Genomic DNA, 26,325 nt, shown 5'->3' on the forward strand with positions numbered 1-26,325 from the left:
GACTTTGCCACATCCCTCTGCCACACCATCCCTGGCCACCCTGGGCACAAGGTGTCACTGCCCAGAGGCTCCTTTTCCTTGCCAGTCCTCACCACCCTCTGTCTTCAGCCCACACTGTTCTTCCATGTTTTATCGACAACTGTCCAGTGGGGTGGGGGGGCTTCAGGGAAGGAACCAGGGTGCACCCAGCAATGGTGACCGAGAGTGAGGAAAGGGCTACCGAGACAGAAGCATTTTGTCTTCCTGCCCTGCCGTCTCCAGAAGCTGTGGCCAGCAGGCTTGGTCACAGGCAGATGCTGGTGGACTGGGCCTGGGAGGTGAGGACACGTGCCCAGTCTTGCCTGCTCAAGCCCGGCTCCCGCCTCTGATCCCATGGAGGGCTGGGTCCCAGGCAGGGCTGCTGAGGGCACGAAGGTGCTGGCTGAGGGGGCGGGTGGGGCTGCATCTGCCCCCAAGGGGCTTTCTATAAATGTACCTGCAGCCATGTTCAAGCTGGCAGGGGCCCAGGTCCCAGGTGGCCTCCCAGGAGCCACCAGCCCTGCCTTTCTTTGGCTTGGTGAGGCTTTTCTGGGGCTGCCCTCTGGCTTCCTGCCAGCCTCACCCCTCTGGGGAACCACGTGGCCTGGCTGATGGCTCTGCTGCCGTCCTGTGTCCCTGCAGGCCTGTATGGCTACCATGTTTCAGTGTGTGCACTTCTGGGGCTGGAAGTCCCTGGAGCATCCCTCAGGGCCAAGTGATACCGCTACTGATGACAAGATGACCGTTTTCCAGACAACCATGTGCTCCATCCTGGTGAGGAAGCCAAAGGGGGAACCAGCCCGTCCCAGGTGGCCACACGCTGGCTTGGAGCTGGGGGGTCGAGATTGCCACAGCTCTTTCTTGGGGCCCTATGTTTACCTTCCACACATGCCATGTCGAGACCGGCACTGTGCAGCAGAAATAGAAGGCAAGTCATGTGCCTATTTCAGCTGTCTGATGTTTCTTTTAGTAGGCACATCCAGAAAAGTGCAGAGGTGAAACTAATTTTCATGTATTTTATTTCACTCAAATAACTAAAACATGATCATTTCAACATGTAATCAGTATAAAAACTATTATTGTGATATTTTACAATTTTTGGGGTACCATCTTAAAACCCAGGGGGCACTTTACCTTAATTCAGACCAGCCACACTTGAAGTGCTGCAGGGTTACACATGGCTTGTGGCTACCATGTTGGACAGCACAGGTTCTCTGGTCAGATGGGATATGAAAAATATAACTGGTGGCCAGTGGTCCTTCACTTGCCAGCTACTCACCTGCTGTGTGACGCTGGGATGGGCGCTTGCCCTCTCTGATGCATCTTGGTGATGGGAACACGCTTGATGAATGACAGCCCATTGTCAGGGTCTCATCCTCCAAAGCTGTGTGTATCACTTACTTTTTGCAGACTCGGAAAAAGCCGGCTGTTCTCTACCGCTTCTTGCTAGAAACAATGGCCTATGTTAAAAATAACTTGTCAAGAATCAGAATCGCTGCTTGCAACTTGGCAGGTGAGCAGAGAGACGTCTCCTGACTCAAGATAGACTTTGAAGGCCCTCTAGTCCACCCCGGCACTCGGGGGAAGGGTGGATCATGAGTGGGAGGCATGTGGCAAGCTGAGACCAGAGCTCAGGTCTAAGCCCTGCACTGTGCTTTCTATCCCGTTTTGATTTTGGCTTCCTCCCTGCCAACGTGGGCTCAACAAAATCTTTCATCAATGCTCTCATAACGTAAAGTAAGTAAACCACAGGACGACTTGCCTGCTGACCTAATACTCGCGTGATGAGCATTTCTTTGGCTATTGTTTTAGGAATTATTATGAAGCAGATGTCTACACATTATCTGAAAAAGCTGGACTTCCCAGCATTACGGAATTGTGAGTAGTGGAGAGTGTTAGATGTTGAGTCCACGACTCACCAACTCACTAGGGGAGCTTAGAGAAACTGCTTCAAGGGAAGAGCCAGAGGACCCTTTGCTGTGGGGTTTCGGGGGGGTGGGAGTGCAACCAGGGCAGAGAGATGCACCTGGGGAGGCCTTTCCAGGACGACAGCTATTGATGGGTGGAGTCCCTTTCATTCCCTGGGCTGTTTCTCCCATTCATAGCTTCTTATGAAATGCTTTTGGCCTGATGCTGCTATCAGGTTCTGTGGGTGATTTCTGTCCCTGTTAGGGTGGTTACTGAAGCCCTGAGAGCTATGATGTGTGTTGAAACAGCTCCACCTGCAGTCCTCTGCTTTCCCACACAGGAGTTTCCCCGTCTGCCCCTGCCCACCTTCTGCGGCCCTTGCCTGCCATCACTGCCCAGGGCATGCAGCATGTGGTCCTGACTGGGCGGGGCCTGAACCTTCCCTCTTTGTGTTCTCTCTCAGCCCTCCAGGAACTACAGCTGGACCCGGATCCCGGGGTCAGGAGGGCAGCCCTGGAGACGCTCACAGTCTTGGATAGCTGTAGTCAGCATGGGTTTCTGGCTTCACCCCAAGGAATGTCCTAGGTGGTCCAAACATAAGACGTAAACTGTCTTCTTAGTGCCAAATGCAAGCCCTTTTTAATTTAGTTTGTAAGAAGTTTAGTTTGTAGGAAAAACACTATTGTAAAATAACTAGTATCCTTTTGTTTCCTTCCGTTGAAATAAACCTCCACTGTCGTTGGAGTAGACTTGTGACTGTAAGGTGGTGACAGCCCAGAACCAAGACAATGAGGCAAAGGGAACTTTGGCCTTAATGAGCCACTTCATTTCCGATTTCCCCCCAAGTACGTTTGTCTGACAGCCCACTGGCCCAAAGGGTCGGAAACTAGCTTTGTGTCTTCACTCGGAGTTCATCCACACGCATGCTGACAGCGTGCCTAAGGCCAGGCACTGTGCCAAGCGGTGAGGGGAGGCCTAGAGTGTCCCATCTGTCTCCAGGGACTCTTCTTTTTTTTTTTTTTTTTTTTTTGAGATGGAGTCTTGCCCTGTCGCCCAGGCTGGAGTGTAGTGGCGCAATCTCGGCTCATTGCAACCTCCACCTCCTGGGTTCAAGTGATTCTCCTGCCTCAGCCCAGGTGCGCAGCACCACGCCCAGCTAATTTTTGTATTTTTAGTAGAGATGGGGTTTCACCATGTTGGCCAGGCTGGTCTCAAACTCCTGACCTCGTGATCCACCCACCTTGGCCTTCCAAAGTGTTGGGATTACAGGCGTGAGCCACCGTGCCAGGCCAGGACACTTCTTAAAGGGAAAGGCACCTAACCACAACACACATCAGAGGGAGGACTGCAGCCAGGGTGCAAGTGCTACAGTGGCACAGGAGGGTGGGTGTGCAAGTCTGGAGACAATCCAGAAAGGCCGCATGGAGGAACTGACATTTATTCCAGGCCCTTCCCTTTGCGACTTAAAGTTACCAAAGTTAAGTTTGGACTGTTGCAACTGGAGCCCAGTGAGGCCTGGAACAGAATTTGGCTGCTGGTCAAAAAGGAGAAATTAGCCCCATGTCTAAGAACATGTAGGGGAAGAGAGGGGCAGTGTGGGGAAGGCTTTTGCTATGCTCAGGCCATCAGAATAGTCTAGGTGTCCCCAGAGCAGGTAAACCAGGACTTCCAAACTGTTCCCAGTCCAACTGCCAAAGGAATTCACCATCCGGGGTCCCATCAACAGGAGAGAGCTGCTATGCTGTCCAAAATCCAACCCGTGCTAAAGCCTTCTCTGGAACAGTGGTCTTCAAACTGTTTTGTGGAGCAAATGGTGACTTGATTTCCTGCCCAGTGATAAAGAGTATTGCTGCTAAACAAGCTTGAACACCACTGATGCAGTGGGGAGAGTGCACCATTCGATAGAGTACAAGGAGGCAGCTGTACATCTGTACAATTGGCTCTCCTTCCATGCCTGTGCAGAAACATTTCCAGATGGTTTATAGACCTAAATGGAGAGAGCAAAATTTAAGACAGTACAGTATTTTTTTTATCCTGAGAGTATGGTAGTTTTTCTTTTAAAAGTAACAGCAGAAGCCAGAAAAAAGGAGGAAGTTATCTGCCTTAGTATGTTTAGCGTTGCTAAAACAGAATACCCAAGGCTGGGTAATTTATACAGAAAAGGTTTGTTTAGCTCCTAATTCTGGTGGCTGGAAAGTCCAAGAGCATGATGTTGGCATCTGCTTGGTTTCTGGTGAGGGCCTTGTGCTATCTCGAGACACAGTGGAAAAGCAGAAAGGTGAGTGGGCAGGTGCAAAGGCAACCCGCTCTCACAGAGAGTGAGAACTCACTCCTTCAAGAGGGCATTCATCTATTCATGGGGTGTCCACTCCCATGACCCAAAAACCTGCCACTAGGCCCCCACCCCCTAACAATTACATGTGCAATTAAATTTCAAGACAAATGGCATCCGAACCATAGCATTGTGTTAAAATGTAACTTCCATACAATAAAATAACACAAAGTTAAATGACAAATGATAGATGATAGAAGTTAAAAACTGGATTGTTTCATATCATTGGATCCAGAATACATCCAAATCAGGAAGAGGCAAATATAAAACCAGTGTCCTGAGGACATTTAAAAAACCAGGACTCCCAGGAAGACATGCTCAACAAGTCATCAAGAGAAAGCAAACTGTGAAGCAACACATCTTACACCTGCCAGAGCTCAGACTGGCAGCAACTGGCAGCGATAATGTGGGGAAAAGGTACCTCTTATATTGTGGGACATTGGGCAAACTGGGGCAGCCATTTGGGAGAGCAATTTGGCAATAACTATGGAAGTTCAAGGCACACCCATCCGTGACCTGTAATTTGCCTCTAGGTGTGTGTGTGCCACAGATAGTTGACAGTTATGCACAAGGATCACGGGTGGATTTTGCACCCGTCCGCAGACATCCAGGACAATAAACCACCTAGAGAACTCAAAGTGAGATGCCCACATCTATCAGCTCTTGTCATATTCAGTCTCTTGATGAAACAAAACTGTAGCATATGTACAGTATTAATTTACTCATATAGTTTGAAACAGAGAGACTATACCATATATAGTTTATGGGGCCCTTATTGGCAGATCTGTAAGTTGGCAAGACCCATGCCCAGATCCTTCCACCTCACCTTCCTCCACTGGATGACAGAACACCGGCCTTTCTGGCAGCCAGGCCTGGCCCGGGCAGCAAGGTTTCAGCTGTCTGCTGGGTGTGGGGGAAGGAGAGGCACAAGCAGTTCTGGGTTGCAGTGATGGTTTTCCTGAAGAGGAAAGGGTGGGTCGCGTTGTCCTTTAGGAAGCAGCAGGCCTGAGGGAAGGCTCTAGATCTGTAGGGGCCATTCTGGCCCTGGCTGAGCCTGAGCCAGCATTACACTGCCGGCCTGTTCTTTGAGGAAATGAGCCGTCTGTGAGGTCTGCAGCACCTGGCGAGGTTCTCGGCTCTCAGCAGCGTGCACCCTCCTTACTGACTCACAGGCTATGGATTGAATTATGATTAAGTCCTAGCCCCTGGCATGATGGTATTGGAGATGGGGCTTTCTGGAGGTGATTAGGTTTAGATGAGGTCATGAGTGAGGGGCCCTTATGATGGGATTAGTGCCCTCCTAAGATACCAGAGACCTTGCTCTCTCCAGCATGTGGGGACACAGCAAGAAGACAGCTTTCTGCAAGCCAGGAAGAGTCCTCACCGGAGCCCAACCATGCTGGCTCCCTTGTCTTAAACTTCTAGTCTTCAAAAACTGTGAGAAAATAAACTTCTACTGTTTAAGCCACCTGGTCTCCAGCATTGTTATGGCAGCCTGAGCATGCAGGTGCGCACGCACACACACACATAACATGGTCCCAATGTAAGACGCAGGGGGGAAGAGATATGGGGCAGGGTATGGGGGTGATACCTGACATCAGGAGAGCAATCGCCTGGGGCGGCAGGCGGGAATGAAAAATGTGTAATTTAATCTCATTTTAAATCTTTCATAAAAAAAAAAAACCCAAACTCATATGGCCATATATTAACTATTTACTCCAGCATGAGTTTCACCAATGTATTCTGAATATGTGAAATATTTCATTACAAAAACGTCACCATGATATCCTGTCATCAACAGCTTCAGTAAGAATCATGAGGAGTCACAGGCGCTGTGGCTGCAGGAGCGTCTGGGACCACCAGGACTGTTTATTTTCCTTCAAGGGTCATTGCATGCAGGGCTCGAACTTACGTCTCACAAGCAAACAATATTCTCGAATGAAATGGGAAACAGGAGAGAGGATTCTCTGGACATATCTAAATTTAAAAAAGAACACACGGCTGGGAGCAGTGGCTCACGCCTATAATCCCAGCACTTTGGGAGGCCGAGGCAGATGGATCACGAGGCCAGGAGCTCGAGACCAGCCTGGTCAATATGGTGAAACCCCGTCTCTACTAAAACTACAAAAATTAGCCAGGCGTGGTGGCGCGCGCCTGTAATCCCAGCTACTCGGGAGGCTGAGGCAGAAGAATCGCTTGAACCCGGGAGGCGGAAGTTGCAGTGAGCCAAGATTGTGCCACCGCACTCCAGCCTGGGCGATAGAGAGAGACTGTCTCAAAAACAAACAAACAAACAAACAAACAAACAAATAACCCCCCCCCAAAAAAAACACACACATCAGAAAAACAGGCCTATCAAAGAGAACCCTAAAAATTCTAATTGAGCAACTTTATTCACATAATTTCTACACCAAGAACTCGAGGTTATCTCTGATGGAACCAATTTCACTAATATTTACTTTAAGGGCAGAGAAGTCAACCAAGTCCTCACAGTCTCAAGAATCAAAAACAAAACAAAAATACAAACAGAGAGCAAGTGGGAAGATAAATAACACTCCGAAATAACCTAGCTACACACTTTTAGTTTCCAATTTTTCTAGCATGAAATCACTTTTCTCTTCCATCCTGTAAGACGTGTTCTCTCCTCTAGGAAAAAAAAAAGACAAAGAAAATGATGTTAGCAAAATTCTAGAATTCCCAATGCCAGCCACTAAAAGGTTAACTGTTTTCTACTTATTCCATTGCATGTATAAAAATACTTATAGAAAGTGGCATTACGTTAAATAAGTAAGTTATGTTAAAGAAACAACAAAAATATAATGGCAACCCCCCGACCCTGCTCCCCACACTCCCCCAGGGAGCACAAGCTGGTGGGGAAGTCCACATCCCACACCCTGGCCCAGCTAGCGCTGCTGCACGAGTGAATTTAGGAGTTCTAAGACTTAAGCTACTTTTCCATATCTATTAAAAGGAGAGACAGCCTGCCTATTGGACAGAATCGATCTAATCAAGGGGTTCTGGTGGGGATGAAAGAAGATAAGACGTAAAAACGGTTCAGCATGGCCTGGCACACAGAGAGCACTCAGACGTTAGGCATGAAAACTCCATATGTAGTTGCAGCTCATGAAGAATTGGTCTCTTTCCTCAAGAAATCTATCATTTAAGCGGGAAAAGCAGAAAAACATAGGAAACCAGTTAAACATGTTTATATTGTGGTTTAAAATGAAACCTGGGGTGTTCATGATTTGACTTGCTATCAAATTCCAGGGTAGCTGGGAGGGCCCTGCGGGGCCACCAAGGGCTGAGTCCTCAGGATGGTCCCACAATAATGCAACCTCACACCATTCTCTACAAGGCCGAGGTCCCTCCTGTGTGGCTGGGCCAGAAGAAAGCCCTTTAGACTGAGCAGGTGAAAAAGCAAGGCAGGAGCCTCTGCACGGAGCACTGGGGCAGATGTCACTCATGGAAAGGGGTCTGCAGGCGACTGGCACGGTGCCAGATCATGGAACAAGGTGGGAAAAGGCACGAGACAAAATCCCAGGGGCAGGATGATGGTAAAAGGAAGAGCTGGGGCACTATCTGAGAAAAAGCAGTTAGGTTTAGACAAGCAGGACGAGCAGAGCAGAGGAGCTCTGATGTGTGGGAGACCAGGAGAAACCTCAGATCTCTCTCTGGGCCGGACAGTTGTTTTTGGTGAAATTCTCCCCTTTCAACTGAGAAGGAGACTCTTGAGAGGTCATCTGTTAAACAGAACGCATAAACTTTGCCTCAAAGCAGCCTCCATGAAGTGTCTGCCATGAAGATGTAGCTGAGATTCTTGAAGGCTTCACTAACTGTGGCTGAAAGTCACCCGGCTGGTGGTTTGGTCTGAAAAAGCCCCAAGTGGGCACAGGAGTGGGCATCAGGCACACAGTTGGAGACCAAGACCCGAGGGAAAGACTGCTGTTAGCCGTGCACTGCCAGGGGAGGAGCTCCGAGGGCCCTGCCCACACAGTGCCCCTGACCCTAGCTGGGGCCCTGCAGAGAAAAACCTTTCCCATCACCTGAACACTTACGTATGTCCATCCTCAACTGGGAAGACAGATGACAACCAAGGCTTGTTTCATCTGCTTCTGGTTAGCTCACACAGTATGACTTTATACACGAAAATAACTTTGAAAACCAAAACATCCAACAAAACCTGGGAGCTTCTAGAACTGAGCCAAGGAGCCTGAGCCGCTAACCCATGAGACTGGTCTGTGTCCAGACAGCTCCCCACTGCAGCACCCACCATGTGCAGCCCCTGGGAGGGTGGGGGTTACCTGCACGGAGCAGGCAGCTGAGCGGTGGGTGGAGTCTAGGGAGGATGTCCGAGGATGCAATAGCAAAGAACTGGGGAGTAGGGGGAGAATGCCAGTGAAAGTTCCCTGGAAGGGAAGGGCTGTCCTACGGCAGACCCTGGAGCAGGTGGCCCTGAGCAGTCCAAGGGCATTGGGAAGACAGAGTGACAGTGAGAAAGGCCCCAGGGGGCTCAAGCCACAGGAGGCCGCTGGCGGTCTGAGAGTGTGGTCTCTGCCATGCACAGGCGGGACTGCAGGCTTCGAAGGCAGGCACCACAGAAGGAACAAGGCATACCAGACCTTGGTTCTGAGCTGGACGCACGGCAGGAGCCAGTGGCTGAGAAGGGCTCGCAGGCCAGGCGGGTCCAGGTGGGAGAAACAGAAAATGGGACACTTATGGCAGGCAGGGTCCACCCAAATGACCTCAGAGAAGAGGCACATCGCCAGGCTAGGGCACAAGGGAAGAGGATACTGGAGACACGGCCTCACCTGCTGGAACCACAAACACACAAAACCCAAAGGAACCGGCCAAATCAAACCCACAGTCAAGTCCCGTCCACCTGTGGGTTAAGAAAGTCGCATCCTCCAGATCCTGACTGTGGACACACAGAGAAGCTGTGCTGGGGAATCCAACCTTTAATGCCAACAAAGGTACTCACTCCCACTGACCCACCCCACCCCACTGTCTCTAGAGAAAAGGGCACACGCAGACTAAAACTCTAGCTGACATGATTCGCACAAATTAAGCTGCAGAACAAGGTGCAGAAGTTTTAACACTGAGCACTGAGATATCTGCAGGGCACCCCTCGCACCTGTGAGAATACTGTGCTCGTGGCTCTCCCAGGCCACTCTTGCTCTTTCCCTACCAGGAATCCAGAAATAGGAAGTCATTCGCTTTAGATCACTTTCGCCTTACAACAGCTATTTTCTGAGTGTCAGATGAAGAGGTTAGAAATGAAGGTTTGACAAAGACGAATAAAGCGTAGTAAGTGAGGATTTGCAGGAAAAAAGCCTCTGAATGCATTCTAATGGAAAGTGTGAAACTTCTGCAAGAGCACTTTCTGCTTTACCTCGATGCATCTTACACAGGGACACATTCTTGATAGAGACGCTGACTTTACAGGAAGGAAAAGCATTTGGGAGAAAGCTCAGAAAATGATCACGTATGTAAGAATTCGGCTGAGATTCACTAAACGTGGCGCAAAGATTCCTACCATAAAAAGCCTCTGTCCAAAGAGCAGTCACTCACATAAACCACATTCAACCAACAGAAACACACCTACCTCTCTTCTGAGTTGGGCTGTGAAGAGCTGCCCTGGTCTCCCGGTCTGACGGTGTTGTCCACCCCATCTGAGGCACCCAGGGAATTGCCCTGGCGTCCGGAGCCCTGGGGTTCTGATAGCCTGGGTCTTTTTGCAGGGAACTGATGGTCCCTCGTGCCATCCCTCGTGATGGCACGAGCAACACATGTAGATGAAGGAGCCTCAATTGCAGTTGAGCCCAGTAGACTTTTTCTGCACCCCAGGGGTGATGATGGCAACTTCTGGAAACCCTGGAAGTGAGGGTCTGGATTTAATTTTCCTAAGAAGCCTTCTGTTTGATATCGAACTTCCATACTTGCTTTATCTGTAGACACTCCAATACATAAAGGCACTGTCATCTGCCCAGGAGATTTGAGGCAATACTTTTGATGAAGCTTGTCAAATTCTTCTTTAATTTCATCGTAACGATTCCTTCCGTGGCCTGGCACTTCTTTATCTGGGACTGAAAGAGTTTTGCTGGGTGACACTGACTTTCTAAATATTCCAGAACTATTTCCCTGAACGTGAAGGTCAGATGTCTGCTGCGGGCGAGTTGCGCTGTGTGTGGGGTTGGTCTTTGGAAGTGATGAAGATGAATCGCTCTTGGGCAGGCACCTACCTGCTTCCAGAGATCTTTTGCCTAGGTTTTCAAAAGCCTCACTTAAACTTTTTGCTTTTGCTTTGCTGGAAGGTAAACTCAGCCTGCGGGTTTCTAAGCCCTGAAGGCCACCAGGACTCGCAGGACCCCCTCTGTACATGTTCATGGCCCAGGAGTCCGGGAGGCACATCCGGCGAGGCTGGTTCCTGGGACTCAGGCAATATTCCCGATGAAGCTGATCAAATCGGATTTCAATCTCCCTCTGACGGTTCTCTCCATGGCCCTGTCGTATTGTTGGTCTGGAAACTATTTTTACAGGAGAAATTAACCATTTTAATGTCCTAAATCTATTTTCCTCATCAAGATTATATGTTGCACTGGAGTCGAAGTAAATCAAGGAAGAATACTTCGAGGGTGTCACTTTGCGCTCCTTCCAACTTGGATCTAACTTATGGATTTGGGGTCTGTTGACTTCAAGAAAAGCTTTTTCCAATTTTAAACCTGTCTTACGGCAAGAAACATCTAATACGTTCTTGCAATCTCTTAATGCCCCTGTCCCTTTCACAGGCTCAGAGCAGGGTATGAAGTTCTCCTTGGAGCTCCTCTGAGAACGTCTGGCTCCTTTGCAATATGTTTTGTTCATCCTGCTCTTATATCTGTGCCTCCTCCTGGAGTTCCAGTTTTGCATGATGAACGTTTTGGTGGAGATGATGCTTGATGGCTTTGTGCTCAACAGCCGGCTCATGGAGTGCAGCATCCCTGCGTACAGGTCACTGATGGTCACATTGCAAATGTCATCATCTTCAAAGGGCTGGCTGCTTAAGAAGCTGCTGCTACTGGTCTCTTGTAGGGAGAGGCTGTCATTTCTAGGTACTAAGGCCATGTCTGTGGAGGAAGGATGCAAAGGATCCCATTCTCTGGGAGATGAAGCTGGTTTCGCTGGGTCACCAGGACTCTTTCTGGAGATACGACTGCAGTATCCTGGGAGAAAAGATACACATAAAGTAAAGGTGTGTTACCATTCTAAACCATCCATGTGCACAGATGACAGAACTTAAGATTGGATCAGGACTATGTTTTTTTAAGCAATAGCAAAAACAAAAACACCACAAATGTGTAGGAGTAGACTCTTCTCAGAGATATTTTTTGGTATCAAAATTTGATTTCTACTCTCCATCGTACATTTCCCAAAGGTGTCTTCCTTTCCCTCTAGGCTGTTTAGAAGATGGATGCCTTTTCAAAAGCTAATTAGAAACTGAAAAATGACAACACTGTTTACCTACATGGATGGGAAGGGGTGTAAGACTTCTAAACAAACCTCTTCATATAGCTTTGACTTTTGCATCATGTAAATGTTTCCTATATTTAAAAAAAAAAAACCAACAGTGATGGGAAAAAACCATAAAATTGAACACAAACAAAAAAAAAATCTGTATGTTAAATTGATAAAGAGAAAAAAAAAGAGTCCAAATACTCTGAGTGTCTGCCTCTTAAAGAGATATTGTCTAAGGATAAAAAGAGCTGCTTGGAAATTTTCAAGCTTATTTAGTAGATGGTTGTGAAGAGTGGTAGCAGGTGCTGCAATGCTAGAGTTATTTTATGCTGTACAATTGACCAGATGAGCACGTGTTAACTCACTGCGGCTGGTGAGAACTGGGAGAGGCAGATATGGCATCAGGGCAGGGGTGAAGAAGTGCTCAAAAACGCATGTCGTTGCACTACACGACACAAAAGCCAGCCTGAAAGGGGCTCCCTGACAGCTAAATCTGGGGTTACTTGAGCGTCAAATTGCATACCGGCAATGGATTATAACATGTGAATCAAAGAACAAAAAGACTCCATGAATTCCTACTGATCCTAAAAAATAAAAATAAAATAAATCAAAGCATGAGAGGGAACTACAGGAAGCAAAAAAAAGAACCAGAGGGGAGATAGCTCTTTTGAGCAGAATAATGCCAACTGACGTGTGCCAAGGAACGGCAGAGACAGAAACAACCTGGGCGGGGACCTCCACCCAGGCGATCCGCATTGCTGGCTTCTAAGTCACTGGGTGAGAAGCTTTTAGAGAAAAGGTTCCTAGGAGATCTCAAAGAATCACACATAGATGACTCCAGGGAAAAAGGGCCTGTCGCAATGAGAAACATCGAAGTAAGGTCTTACCTTAACTCAATGACCAGCCTAAAAGTCACCAAGAATGGGACAGACTGACCAAATGTTCTGAGAGGACACGTCATCCCTGTAGTAATTTTGCCAAAAATGTTTAACGTGAACCTAACCACGAGGAAGCAATCAGGTCCAAATTCAGGGACATTCTGCAAAATTACTGGCCTGTGCTATTCAAGAAAGGCAATAATATGAAAGGTGACCATGAGGGAGAAAATGCCAAGGAGCCGCTCTTGATGGAGGGAGACTAAACGCAACGGTGGTACCAGCCTGAGTGGGTCCGGAAACGATCAGGCAAACCAGAAAGGCTGCAAAGGACGTCACTGGCACAATGGGTAGAACAGTACCGCATCAATGTTCAATTTCTGGCCTGTGTTAAGCGTACTGTAGTCATAAAGGAGAATTAGCCGATTTTTGGAGGTATGTGTGAGGCATTTAGGGATAAATGCATACACAAATGCAAATAAATACACACTGTGTGTGCACGTGTGTGGCAGGGGGTGATAACGCAGATATGACAACATGTTAATTGTGAAACAAGTGAAGGGTGTTCACTGTACTAGTCCTGTGCTTCTGGAGATGCAAAACTTTTCAAGCTAGTAAACTGGAATAAAGAGCAGACGTGGAGGAGAAAACAGCTCATTTTGAAACATCTTAATCTTCCAGTGAAATCCAAGTATATCTCTAACAAGTTATGTTGATGAAACACACCAGGAAATGATGGCGTGGCCAGTATGAGCAGCTCTGAGGGGCCACGCAGCTCCAACAAAAGTGAAGGAAACACGCACTGTTCATACAGTTTCTATGTCACACTCACCGGGGGCAGGCACGGCAGGTGAGGCCAGTGAAGGCAGCGGAGTCACACGTACATCCCTTCCAGCTCTGTTACCTGCACACTGAAATCAGAGCCAGTGGTTACAAGAAAAAAGTTGCCAGGTGTCAACTGGGTGCAAGGAGCTGGGTTCTCCCCTGACGATGCGGACTGTGCATCTTAGCACAGCCATGTCGACAAGCGTGTGAATGTGGTGACAGTGGCCAGCTAGGCTTCGGGCAGTGGGAAGAAAATATGTCCTACTAAGATCTGGACAGTTGATGTGGTCTCCAGGATAGCTTCCAGCCACAGTCACCACTCACCTGCCAGTAACTTCTTACCCCAGGGGCGCTGGTAGCTTTCTTTGTCTAGCATTATACTCAGACCACAAGAACACCTAGGGGCCAACCGGACGGTGGACAAAGAAGACCCAGTAGATCCGTTCGTTCCTAACCCTAATCTGTTCCCTGGATCAACACAGCAACCAAGAGGACACCACTTGCTGCCTTGGGTTAAAGGAAAAAGCATTTCAGGTACATCCACTAAGTCGGTGGTCCACAAATACAGGCTTTCCGCTGGTCAGCAGCACAGTAAGAAAACACATACACCCCTGTGAGATTGCTGCCTTTTTCTGGAGATGAATTCTTATTCTGCAATGTGTACTTCCTAAGTATTTGGTGTTGCAATGTCCTTTATTCTATGGCAGAGGGCACTGACCTTAAGAGAGGGGTTGGCAGGTGAGTGTGCCCACCTCTCATGCCATCACATCCCCCCCCTCCCAACATGACCTCTCAGCAGGCGGGACAGGTGCCAAGGGTCAGCCTCCTCACCTTGCAGCTGATTCTAGCCTGATCGCACCAGGGAATGTGGGGACTATTGCTTCCCTAACTATGCAGCTTCAAATCCTGGTCCAGAGGTCAGGGCTGCTCTTAAGAGTCCCGTGTGTGGCCCCAATAGATTTTTTTTTTTTTGAGATAGAGTCTTGCTCTATCACCCTGGCTGGAGCACAGTGGCACAATCTCAGCTCACTGCAACCTCCGCCTCCTGGGTTCAAGCGATTATCCTGCCTTAGCCTCCCAAGTAGCTGGGATTACAAGCACGCACCACCACACCCAGCTAATTTTTCTATTTTTAGTAGAGATGAGATTTCACCATGTTGGCCAGGCTGGTCTCAAACTCCTGACCTCAAGTGACCCACCTGCCTTGGCCTCTCAAAGTGCTGGGATTACAGACATGAGCCACTGTGCCTGGCTGCCCCACTAGATTTTTCTGTGAGTTGCCCCAGAACAGTGGGCAGAGCACCCCTGCCAGGGCTCCCACCTTCCTGATGGCGCTGCCCTGGGGGACCTGGAGTGTTTATTCAAGAAGAGCAAGTATGTCAGCATGTGAATAAAACAATTTGGAAATCATTACTTCAAATGCTCTTTATGGGTTCTGTAGAAAAAACAAAAAGCATAATAACACTGTACCTCAATGTATTTAGTTTATGATCTAATTATATAAAAACAAACAACTGGGAAACAGATTACCTCAAAATACTCTGCACCTTGTAGCAGTATATCCACTTGGGTCAAGTATTTCCTTCTTAATTCATTTTTCAAAGGGCTTTGAGGCACTGCAGGCTGATCAAAAAAGAGAAGTCAGAATTTTTAAGAGCTTCTGAGTATAGCTGACCTTTTGGCTTCTGGAACAAACTGGCAAGCTCATTAATGTACAAATCTTTACATGATCCTACTCAAAGTCACTTTCACCTCCATGATGTTATTCAAAGTCACTTTTTCACTTCCTGCTATGTTAATAATCCAAAAGAATGTAAAAAGACACACACACACAAAAAAACCATGTCTAGAGAAGTTTATGACAGCATTGCTAGACCAGGAAAAAAAAAATCTGAATATTCATAGGTGAGTTCAGGACTCAACTACTGGTAATAACTTCAAACTGGTAAGTTTATAAGAAATTCAGTGCTCCTGGCTGGGTGTGATGGGTCATGCCTGTAATCCCAGCACTTTAGGAGGCTGAGGCAGGTGGATCACTTGAGGCCAGGAGTTCGAGACCAGCCTGGCCAACATGGTGAAAGTCCATCTCTACTACAATACAAAAATTAGCTGGGCATGGTGGTGGGCGCCTGTAGTCCCAGCTACTTGGGAGGCTGAGGCAGGAGAATCGCTTGAACCCAGGAAGTAGAGGTTGCAGTGAGCTGAGATTGCCCCACCGCACTCCAGCCTGGGTGACAGAGTGAAACTCCATCTCAAAAGAACCAAAAACAAAAACAGAAATTCAGTGCTCCAGCTCAGGAGGCTCTCCTACCCCTCCCCTGCTAGACACTGGAAATAGAGGGCGTCACCCTCTATCCTCTGCTGAGTGGGGCTGGCACTTTGGTTCTTGACTCTTGGTACCACCCACTTCCCCTTTGTTCCAATCCCTACACAATCTCTCAGTGAGCATCCACTTTCTTCCCCAGGACCACGGCCTTTTTCTTAGTCACTGAAAGTCACACATGGGTGCGTGGGAAACCCTCTGCACAAAAGTAGCAATTTTAGAGGAAAACCATGCATCAGGTATTCTGGCAGGCAACAGAGTGTGACACGGGGGCCAGGAAAGATGCTGGAGCTGGTTAAGCTCTGTGTAAATTCGCATCTATCCCAACCAAGGAGGATAAGAAGCACATCCCATAAGAAAACGGGTGGTTTCTGTGACCCAGGGGGCACTCTGGGAAACAGACATATAGATGACACTTACTGTTTGGGTTAGTGACGGCTGCCCAATGAGGCGACCTTGTGACTTGGGGCATTTGAGGACAGACCTGGAAATACTCCCTAGAACACCTCTCTTTTTACCCTGCCCCTGTAGGGGAGACTGACCGAGAGCCCAGCTTTCCTGTCGTGTGCTCATCCAGGCAGATGGCGCCCTGCCAACCACACTGACAGCTTTATCTGCAGAGTGAAAATCATCGTGAATCAGGCTTGCACTGGGGGTAGAACTGGCTGCCAGGTGCTAGACTGAGAGGAGGGCCTTACCGCTGAAGGGAATCGACACGAGGAAATCCGAGACTTGGAAGTAGCAAAAGCCAGCCTCAGGAGAGGACTTCCAGAAAAGTGCAGGCAGCGCTGCCCGCCTCAGGCCACATGGGCTTTGATGGACCCCTGAGCCCCCAAGCGCCCCCTCTGTCCATTCATTACTAAAGGCAGCACTTACTGCTAAGGCCCAAGCAACTGACTCTTCCTGGTCTGACGTGGCATCGACCTCACCGCTTTTTGAATCTAAAAGTCAAACAAGTAAATCTCAATCAGGATTTTCAGGAAGGAGTGCATTTTCCTCTCAAGGATGGTTTTGGCATCACTTCGAGTAAGTTGTACAGTAAAAATCCCCATTGCTTCAAGGGTGCACCCACTGGAGCCATCTACGGCTGCCCGTGGTTCTTAGTAACCCAGAGAACCCCTAGAATGGGAAACTGCCTGGGGCCATGGAGTGAGGAAAGGCAGATTCTGCACCACCTCCAGCTTTCCATGGCCTCTGAGCCTGGAAGTTGAGACGCTCAAGCCCAGCACTGCTCGACAGAACTTCCGGTGACCATGGAAAGTTCTCTGCCTGCTGTCCTAGGCCAGCCACTAGCCACACCGGGCTACTGAACAGCTGGGATGTGGCCAGTAAGGCTGAGGAAATGGATTTTAAATTTTATTTCACTTTCAACTAATTTAAATATCATCCAGAGAGGGCTGGTGGGTGCCATACTGGGCAGTACATCTATCAAATAACTATTTCCTGTGATTTCAAGCGGTTGGGGAAATTCATGGACCTAAGGATTTATAGTTAAAATCTGGATTAATAGCAGTAAACACATAGCACCACAGGTAAATATCCTCATGAAGAGCTTTCCAATTCTACTCTGAAAGACCACCAGCTTCCCTTTAGCGACTCAACACCCATCACTAACTATTGGTGTAGGCAAGGTGCCAGGAAAGGGACTGGGCAGAGGGGGACAGAGGCTGCGGAAGGCCAGTGTCCAGGAGAGACAGGTGTTTAAAGGCTAGTGACAAAACTGTTTCGCAAGCAGAGGAACCCAGGTCTAAAGAGCTCAGATAAGAGTGGGGGTCTGTTCCAGCCTGGGGATCACAGGGGCTTCCCGGGGGCAGCAAGGAGGCCATGCGGTCAGGCAGGACTTCAGGCCCCATTCTGGGTTCTGGCCTTTTACCCCAAAAGCAATGGGAAGCCACGTGTTGCATCAGAGAAGCGGCTTGACCACATTCACAGGGGCGTCAGTGGGGCGGAGGGAGCCCGGGTGGGGTTGGAGGCTGGTGCTCAGCGGGGACATGAGAGCTAACGAAGCACAAGGCACAGGACAGGGATGCCTTGGCCATGAGGAATGAGGCAGAGGCTGAGATGAAGATCCTGGGTTTCTGGCTAACGCTAGAGGGAAGACGGCAGGGGCCTGTACTGAGGCGCAGAGCAGAAGATGGGGAGCCTGTCTGTCGGGCTGAGTCTTAGCTGTGCCAAGTCTGGACATGAAGTATTGAAGCAGAGGGGCTGCTGGGCAGTAAAACGCCCCCAGTTGAGTTCTGGCTGGAGGTTACAGTCAGCACACAGAGAAGCCATGGCTCCACCTGGGGGAAGGGCAAAGGCAGCTCAAACAAACCCTCTAGAAAGGGCATCCAGCAGGGACGGGAGGCGAGCAGACTGCAGGCTTGGAAGGACGAAGACAGAAGGAGGAAAACTGGAGGAGCATGGGGCCGAGGAGCAGGGGGCCACAGAGGCCCAGGCCAGAACTTCTGGAAGGTTTAAATGCAATGGAGAGCGCAAAACCCAAAGAATAAAACCCAAAGAATGCTAACAGGATTTAGCAATGGGGTTGTGAGAAACCTCACCCAGAGTTGGGCTTTAGAGATGGAGCCGAAAGGAGTCGGGAGAGGAGGAACACACGGGGTTGGTGGGGTAGGGAATCCATGGCACCAAACGGAGCAGGTTATTTCACTCTGGTGGTAAAGGGAACTGGGCAAAGGGATGTGGCAAGGAAGGGGCCCAGGACAGGGGAGAGCCACGAAGGGTCTGATGTATCTAACGTGAGTCTGAGCGCATCTAAATACCGACGGATGGATCCAGGGGACAGAGACTGAAGACAGAAGGAAGGGGTGAGGGACAGATTCCCTAGAAAAGAGGACAGGATGGGGGTGGGCAGTGAGACTGGCCTGGGGAAAAGGAAGGAGCCTCCTAGGAGGACGAAGTGGGAAGCTGCCCTATAGAAGTGAGGGTTCACAACACCACCCTGTAGGGGCAAATCTTAAGTCTTACTAAATCTGGATATTAACTTTTCACATGGAGGGGCATGTTTATTTACTCAAAAAACACCTGAGTACCATTCATATGTCAGGCACCGGATGTAACTGTGGGCAAGGCAGAGCTCAGAAGGAATCAACAGGGTACTTTAACATGATTTTAGTTTTTAAGATATACCTTAGAAAAAATAAAAACTTCACTACTGAGGAATCTAGGCTTTAAGCTGTTGTAACAGGTGCGTCAGACCTGGTCCCTCCTGACTTCAGTTCTCTGACGAAGGCAACACTCACCGGCTCCCAGGACTGTGCGGTGCGAGGGAAGCTCAGGACCCCAGGCTGCAGCTTGCACGGAGCCATCTGTCCTGTCCGCGGGCTTCATGGAGGAGTCCTCCAAGTGCAGAAGCCAATAAAAACATGGTTGTTTGAGTGACAGCACATTTCAAAGTCACCGCAAAATAATAAAACTGCAATCCTTCTGTTAACACAGGAGACAGCAAGAGCCTGCCACAAGGCTTCTCTTCTCCCTGCATGTCCACTTTATAAGAGGCCTCAAGAGCGTAGGAAGGAGCTGAGGCTCCCCTGGGTTGCAGCGGGGGCTGCTACTTAAAAAGCCACTTGGAAGGAGCAGGGAAAGTCAGGGGCCCAGGCACGAGCAGATAAGCTCACACCTCCTAACAGTGGCCCAGGGATGACAGGGACTGGGGCAAACAAAAAGCCAAATTGAAACAGAACAAAATTGTCCTGAGGTCATCAGCGAGAACAGAGAAATAGGCAAGTGGCCCCTGGGCAACTTCCTGTGATCTTTAAAGAATATGCTGGAGTATTTAAGGCGGGGAGGAGCCAGTTTAAGCCCAAGCTAACGCACAGAGGCAGCTGCTTGTCCTGACCAGGAGCTCATACCTGGTGGGCAGAGGTGGTCGGGCGGCCACACTCCTGGTCAGGCCTGCTTCAGCTCTCCAGAGCCTGCTCTATAGCAGGCCCCACGAATAATCCCAGAGCATGGCATCGGTGGGTTCTCAGTAATGAAATTCAAGCATTCAGGATACCAGATTGGCTGAAATATTAATATTTTAGGAACCACCCAGCCTTATAAAAACAGGGCGTGAGAAGGTGGCGAGGCCTATACCGTTAGGGATGGTCCTCAGGTGTCAACTCTGAGGGTTCAGAGGACTTGGGGCTACCCAGGAGCACTACAGGGTAACTGAAGCCCACTTCCAGAATATCAGAACCTTTGCTTCCAGTGAAACCGTCACGTAAGGTGGAGTTTACAGGGTTGTTTTGTGGCTGTGTCTGAGGCAGAACCTGGTTTGAGAATCACAGAGAAGCAGACGATCTACACCAACCCCAAACTATGTGGTAGCTCTGGTAGCTACAAACAGAACCCAGGCATTGTGTTATAACCAACCCAGCACAGGTCAACACCCGGCCTGCCAGGGCCCACAGCCTCCCCCAGCCTCCAGGGCGGCAGGAGCACCAAGTCGTCTGGGAAAAGGTGAAGGCGGATCTGGACACTGTCACCAATAGCAATTACAGTGAAGTCAGAGATGTCCCCGCTGAAATCTCAGGCTACGCCCAGTTTCCTAATCCCAAGAAAGGGTCTGAAGATTCTGGAGACCCAGGTAGGGTTCCTCCTACATTTTAAGCAAAAACCTTAAATAAATCTTTAAATGAAAACTTTTTGCTACCAGGACCATATTAAGCACTGGTCTAATGAGTGGACATCTGTATTATGCATAATTCAAAGAGTATATATACTTTAACCCGATAATCCCACTTCTCAGCATTTATCGAAAAGGGGGACTATCAGTATTGGGAAGAGACAAGGACCGGGATTTTCTCTGAAAACCATTTCTAACAGAGGCTTTATAAATAAAGTTTTATTGGAACACTGCCACGTACACTCATTTACATATTATTTTCGGCCACTTTCCTCCTGCAACACAGAGCTGAGTAGTTACAACAGAGACCATAGAGCCAGCAAAGCCTAAAATATGTATCATCCGGCCCTTTGTGGAAAAAGTGTGCTGACCCTTATTTATTAATAAAGGAAGCCACAAATAGCTAATTGCCTATCAACAGGAGAGCAGTTAAAAAAACATGATTTTTTAAATAATTATATAATTTTATAATTATACAACAGTTGATGAAGAGAAGAGTTTGCCAGATGTATTAACCGGAAAAGTGAGGGAGAAAAAAATGCATTTATAAAGATATGTATTATAGGGAATCACATTGTACTAAAATAGCATTAGTGACCATCTTTGCAGAGAGGAATCAGCTCATTTATGTAGTTGTATGTACTTTTAACATTTTTATGACTAGAATAATTAATCAAGAAGATTTGATTTCAAATTTGCTGTTAATATCGTCACATTGATCTTGATGTTTTTCATTCTTTCATACAGGTTCCTTGACCTGTGACCACAGAGAGGAACCATGTGGCATCTGAGAGGCAGTGATTAACTGAATACCAGATAACCTGGCAAAAGCCACTGTGGCAAAAGGGCTCCTGGATGCCCCCGTAGAAAGGCCAACAGCACCTTCCACTAAAATAACGGGTCTCAGAGCGACAACACCCTCGGATCAACTAGGCAGGGAAGCCAGGGTCTTCCGAAGGTAGAAAAATGCAGAAGGAAAGATGTGTGATCCTCCAGGCTGCACCTCTCCTCATCTCTCTTCCTCCCCTTTCAAAACAGGAAGAGAGACATTCTTCTTCCCTAGAAGGAACTGGATTTGGTATTTTCTGTAAGGACCCAAACAAAGTGAGTGCCTCGCTGGGCTGGCACGTGACCTTGGGGAGGGTTACCCAACTGGCCCAGCCTCTGCACATGTATTATCAGAGCCCCTCAGCCTGTGACACAGGAAACACAGGGTGATGAAAAAGGCCAAATATTACACAGTGACTCCTTGCACTTGACAAGCTACAGAAGAAATGCTTCTAAATCCTTAAAAACAGAAAGAGTATAATCATGAGAAAAAGTGCCCCGTGGTGGCCTCTGCGTAAGCTCAGAGGTTGGGCATACCCACACCTTTATTCATATGAATACTCCTCCACAGCAAGGTTATTTGGCAATAAAATTTGACACTAAATACCTGGATCTCTCCTTCGTTTCTTTCCTTTATTAGTCTTCCACCCCAAATTCTCAATCCTGAAGAAAAGAAACAAAAATGACCATTTACATAATCCTGAACGCTGAACTTCTGCTCAATCTGTGTTCACCAGATGCCAAAGTGACAGGCAAAAAAAAGGTACAATATTAAAACCAAGCCAGGTTTCTGATACCCTGCGATTGTTCCTCTTTGTAAAGTTTCAGGTTTTTAAGGCAAATTCGTCATTCATGGAAATCTCTCCTACCTACTAGAAAACGGCTCATCAAATTACATCATTAGCCCAAAAAGTTAAATGAAAACAAGGAACATATGACAGCGACTGTCCTTAAAATATATAGAGGGCAATCTATATACCATATAGAGGGAGTAAGCACTTTTCGCAGGCAATCTCTACATCCCATATACTGAATGAATGCTTTCTAAGGGCAATCTACATGTTATACAGAGACCAAAGGGTAGCAGACCTGCCACTGGAATATTTTAGTTTCTGCCTGTGTAAACTTTTCACCCAAGATGTGTCTGGATTGGCTATAAAGGCAGAAAGGTAGGATTTCTTTTAACTCAAGGAGCAGATCTTGTGAACCTTCTGTGTCCGTTTAATGCAACATAGAACTTGCTCTGAGGTTTGTTTTCATTAAGTGATACTGAGTTAGTTATAAAGCTATATGGGAGGAATTGACCCCAGCCAGTGCAAAGTGTCACCAGCTATTTACCAAAAAGAATCCACAAGATTTCAGTCCGTTTACATTAACTATTAAACGGAATGCCTTCTCCTCCCTATTCAAGTACTTGGAGCCTCAAGGAAGACAGTTACTACTCCAAGTTAAACAGGGCAAACAATAGTCAATGTGAGTATTCACAGTGCGGGGCGGGGTACTGTTCACAGTTTCATAGGGATTGTACGTGACTGTTACAACACCCACGCCCAGGAGACATTATTGTCATCATCCTTCCCATTTCACAGATGAAGACACTGAGACCAGTCCAGCTAAGCAACTGCCCCACGCTGCCATGGTGGGGAGGTGGCCAGCGGGGATGCCAACCCGGTAAGCCGGAGGCATGTGAGCCAGGAGGCACCTATGTCTCTTCAGGAATTGTTCTAATAAGTAATTCAAGTAATTTACAGGTTTAAGGGCACCAATGTTTTGGTTCCTATTAGTTAGGTGAACAATGTTTACTTCTTAAGAGAGCAGGGACAGCATTTCAACTACTCCATTCACACTCTTCACCCGAATACTCAGAAGGTGGGGAAGACCCTTACCCTGTGGCGTCTCGTAGGTCAGCGTGGCCATTTGCACCACCGGGGTGTCCTCGAAGGGCTGGTTGTACTGCGGAGGAGGAAGGGGCTTCCTGTCAGGTTCCAGGGCCACGAGGGGCCCCAGACCCGGGAGGAGGCGGCGCCAGCCCGTGAGAGGCCGTTAGTCTGGCCTGGGGCGCCCCAAACGCGGTCTCTGCAGCGGAGCCCCCAACTCCGCCTCTCTCGTCCCACTCAGGAGCACCCCCAGCCCCACCAAACCCTCCTCTCTGCACCCGAGCCCCAGGCCTGCTTCCCCACTCCCCGTTCCGGAGGCCCCAGTCTTTCCTCCCCGTCCCCGCACCGAAGCCTTCGGCGCTGCCTCCTTTTTCCCTCTCCGGAGCCCCCAGCTCCGCCTCCACCTTCTCTCCGCATCCAAGCCCCAGTCCCGCTTCCCCAACCCCCGCTCCGAGTCCTCAGAGCCCCTTCCCTTCCCGTCCTACGTCCCCTCCCAGCCTCACTCCGACACGCAGGCCTCCCCTCCCGGCGGACCGGCGGGGGCCGCACCTTCTCTATCAGCCGCTGCATGCGCCTCTGGAAGCGGCGGCGACTGGCCCTGAGCTTCTGCAGCAGCTGGTCGTCTTCCACGTCCTCGCCCTCCATGGCGCGCAGCGTACCCAGCATCGGACCCAGCCAGTACCCAAGCGCCAACCCGGACTGCAGGGCCTCGCGCGCCACAAACTCAAATAGGAGACTCCGCCCTCCCTGCCTTCCTCTCGGTTTTCTATTGGCTAGAGCGGAGAAGCCGGGCACTGATTGGGCCTTTCAAACAAATTTGCGTCCCACCTTCCGGCCAATCCACTCCCGAGTTTCCAGCCACGCCCCAATGTCCGGCGGAAGGGAGGGAGGGTCTCCGGCCGCCACGGCCGGTGGTAGTTGTACAAACAGCTGTGTGCTTATTCATCAGCGGTGCTGTGCGAGATCCGGTGGGATGCGTGTCATCTCCCGCGCTGTGCACCGGAGATAAGTGCGGCCTGGAGATTTCTGCGTGACTTGCTCTGGGTGTCGCCGCTGGGCGAGGTCCGCCTTCCTCACCCCTCCGCCTGGGATCCCGGCGCAGTTTCCAGGGCAGGGGCCTAAGAAAGACAACCCCAAATTACCAACCCAAAAGGAGGCAGGATAGCGAATATTCATCTAGAAGGAAAAAATAAGTCTCAACGAATGACACATTTAAAGATGCTGACAAATGCGATACACATCACAAAATCCAGGAAAATACTTCTATTAACCCAGCTTTTTCCCTATGTATTTCTGATTGCATATTCTGCTTCTTCATTGATATTAATCTTGTAATATTTTCTCCAGAGAGAAGAGCAAGATAAATCAGTCTTTAGTATGGTTGATGGAATTTATGATTGACATCTTAGGAAAGTTTCATTCAGCTTCATCACTTAACCACATTTGTGTGCTTGTGCTGATATGATTACCATAGTATGTGATTGAAAATAAAAGCATTACTGAGCACCAGGAGGTCCCTTAGAGGGGGCTCTTCACCTCCTTTCAGCCTGCACGGCAATTCTATCATGATGTCCTGCGGAAATTTAGGTGGGAGTGGGTGGAGGGTAAGAACTTCAGGGCTCATGTAGTGTGTGTGTCCACAAAACGTGTTGCGTTGTGCTGGACACAGAGATGTGCTGGCCTGATTCCCCTTAAGATGCCACAGCTGCTAGGAGGGCAGTTGGCAGGGGCCTTCAGTTGTCAGCCTATTCTGGGATGATTCAGTTGCAGAGAACTCCCTCACCCAAGGTCCTGCTGCCCCAGGGTGGCCCAGCACCAGTGACTGATCCAGGTGGGAACAGGAAGGCTGTATCATTTCAGTCTGATGGAAGAAAACCCTGGGCCACTTTATCTTCCGAGCTCTCAATTCCACGGAATTGGATGGGGTAACCTACCAATCCTGTTTCTTTCCTTCCCTTCCTCCCTATATAAACATCCTCTCTGAGTCTTCTCCAGTTGCAGGATCTACACATTTAACTTGTACCTTTTCCAATTTTCACAAACAGACCGAGGTGTCTTCCTCCTCCTTCCTTAGGAGTGTTCAGAAACTTAACATGCTCTTCCTTGGACTCTGTGCTTCCCACACATAATTTACTTTTCAAACATCTAACTGGGCCCATTTAGAGACTTGAGACCTTGAATAAGATTTTCTTTTTTCTTTTTGAGTTTTGGATGATTGACTCTTCCATTGTTACCAGATAGAGTTGTCCAGGTTCTTGGTGTGTTGAACAAAGAATTGAACAAAACACACAAAGTAACAAAGGAATGAAGCAACGAAAAACAAAGCAACAGGAGAACGGAGTAAGGAAAGCACAGATTCATTGAAGACAATTCACAGAGTGCGAGCGGACTGGAGCCCGCAGCTCAAGAGCCTCTTCAATTAGGGTTTTTATAAAGCCAAAAGAACTTGGCAACACCCCTGGGTACCCTTTAGAGGCCTCCAATTGGTTACACCCTATGAAGGATTGGCCTGTGACCAATCAGAGCCTAAAGTGGAAACTTGGCCTGCAGTCATTCAGGGGCTGAAGTGGAAACTTCTTTCTTGTTATCACGGGAGTGAAGATGTAGCCTATGTCCTGCCCAATCTTGCTTAAAACTGGCTGCACCTGCTGTTCTCTTGCTTATGCGAACTGGCTGCATCTGCTGTTCCTTTGCTTATGCCTCAACCCTTTGCTACCCCAGTTCCCTATTCTCCTGCCTCACCATGACTCTCTAACAAGCACGATAGTACCAGTTTTCAAAACTGGCGTCTCCCAGGGCTTATTCTCTATTCCTGGGAAACCATTCCAAGATTTCCTTTGCTGGCTTCACTGACAATCCAAGCATCTGCCTCTGTCCTAGGAGTTTGGGGGCAGCTTCAGTGGAAAGATTTCTCAATCTCAAGTTCAAGTCTTTAATTGAAGTCCAAAACATACTTGCTTTAGCCAAACTCCTTCTGAGCCAGCCAAAGTCCATGCATTAACCCTTATTGTTCTGGCCTGGTGGTCTTCCAGTCGTCTCTGACTGGCTTTCCCCATCCCATGGTCTAAAGTGGTGCTCCAGCTAAAGAAAGAAGAACCCTGTATCATGCTTCTCATGTGATGCTGTAGCAGGACAAGCCGCAGACAAAACCCCTCAGACACCGAGTTAAAGAAGGAAGGGCTTTATTCAGCTGGGAGCTTCGGCAAGACTCACGTCTCCAACAACCGAGCTCTCCCGAG

At 48.6% G+C, this 26,325-nt stretch overlaps 2 protein-coding genes across 20 annotated transcripts in view, besides 3 other annotated features; one reads left to right on the top strand and one right to left on the bottom strand.

Annotated features, from left to right (window-relative positions):
* The window catches only part of MROH2A (maestro heat like repeat family member 2A), a 57,695-nt gene extending 55,025 nt beyond the window's left edge, over positions 1 to 2,670 (top strand). For 14 of the 15 annotated variants that reach the window (XM_024452842.2, NM_001367507.1, XM_011511076.3 and 11 more), the window contains 4 exons: positions 661 to 792; positions 1,429 to 1,531; positions 1,831 to 1,896; positions 2,390 to 2,670. In XM_024452842.2, coding sequence (XP_024308610.1) covers positions 661 to 792; positions 1,429 to 1,531; positions 1,831 to 1,896; positions 2,390 to 2,511 — 423 coding nt within the window. In that variant the 3' untranslated portion in view covers positions 2,512 to 2,670. Of the gene's footprint in view, positions 1 to 660; positions 793 to 1,428; positions 1,532 to 1,756; positions 1,897 to 2,389 lie in introns of those variants that run through there. The other variant, XM_024452845.1, reaches the window with a different exon arrangement.
* Positions 5,954 to 23,787, bottom strand: HJURP (Holliday junction recognition protein). Of its 5 annotated transcripts, NM_018410.5 has the most exons (9): positions 23,636 to 23,787; positions 23,096 to 23,162; positions 21,817 to 21,872; positions 19,015 to 19,111; positions 16,649 to 16,713; positions 14,980 to 15,072; positions 13,457 to 13,535; positions 9,861 to 11,457; positions 5,954 to 6,904 (listed from the first exon to the last, which is right to left on the bottom strand). In NM_018410.5, the coding sequence occupies exons 1-9, from the start codon at positions 23,750 to 23,752 to the stop codon at positions 6,829 to 6,831; spliced, it is 2,247 nt and encodes a 748-aa protein (NP_060880.3). In that variant the 5' UTR covers positions 23,753 to 23,787; the 3' UTR covers positions 5,954 to 6,828. The 5 variants fall into 5 exon arrangements, with proteins under 5 accessions (NP_060880.3, NP_001269891.1, NP_001269892.1 ...); NM_001282962.2 differs by lacking the exons at positions 16,649 to 16,713; positions 19,015 to 19,111; NM_001282963.2 differs by lacking the exons at positions 14,980 to 15,072; positions 16,649 to 16,713; positions 19,015 to 19,111.
* Positions 19,644 to 20,144: an enhancer, noted in NCBI's record as "H3K4me1 hESC enhancer chr2:234759038-234759538 (GRCh37/hg19 assembly coordinates)". NCBI's record gives its function as "activates a minimal SCP1, AML or CMV promoter by ChIP-STARR-seq in naive H9 embryonic stem cells {active_cell/tissue: H9 hESC(naive)}" and the evidence as "EXISTENCE:reporter gene assay evidence [ECO:0000049][PMID:30033119]".
* Positions 23,669 to 24,661: an enhancer, noted in NCBI's record as "H3K27ac hESC enhancer chr2:234763063-234764055 (GRCh37/hg19 assembly coordinates)". NCBI's record gives its function as "activates a minimal SCP1, AML or CMV promoter by ChIP-STARR-seq in primed H9 embryonic stem cells {active_cell/tissue: H9 hESC(primed)}" and the evidence as "EXISTENCE:reporter gene assay evidence [ECO:0000049][PMID:30033119]".
* Positions 23,729 to 23,988: a silencer, noted in NCBI's record as "silent region_12472". NCBI's record gives its function as "represses an Ori minimal core promoter by ATAC-STARR-seq in GM12878 lymphoblastoid cells {active_cell/tissue: GM12878}" and the evidence as "EXISTENCE:reporter gene assay evidence [ECO:0000049][PMID:35858748]".

The sequence above is a fragment of the Homo sapiens genome, chromosome 2 (assembly GCF_000001405.40).
Source record: "Homo sapiens chromosome 2, GRCh38.p14 Primary Assembly".
Lineage (NCBI taxonomy): Eukaryota > Metazoa > Chordata > Mammalia > Primates > Hominidae > Homo > Homo sapiens.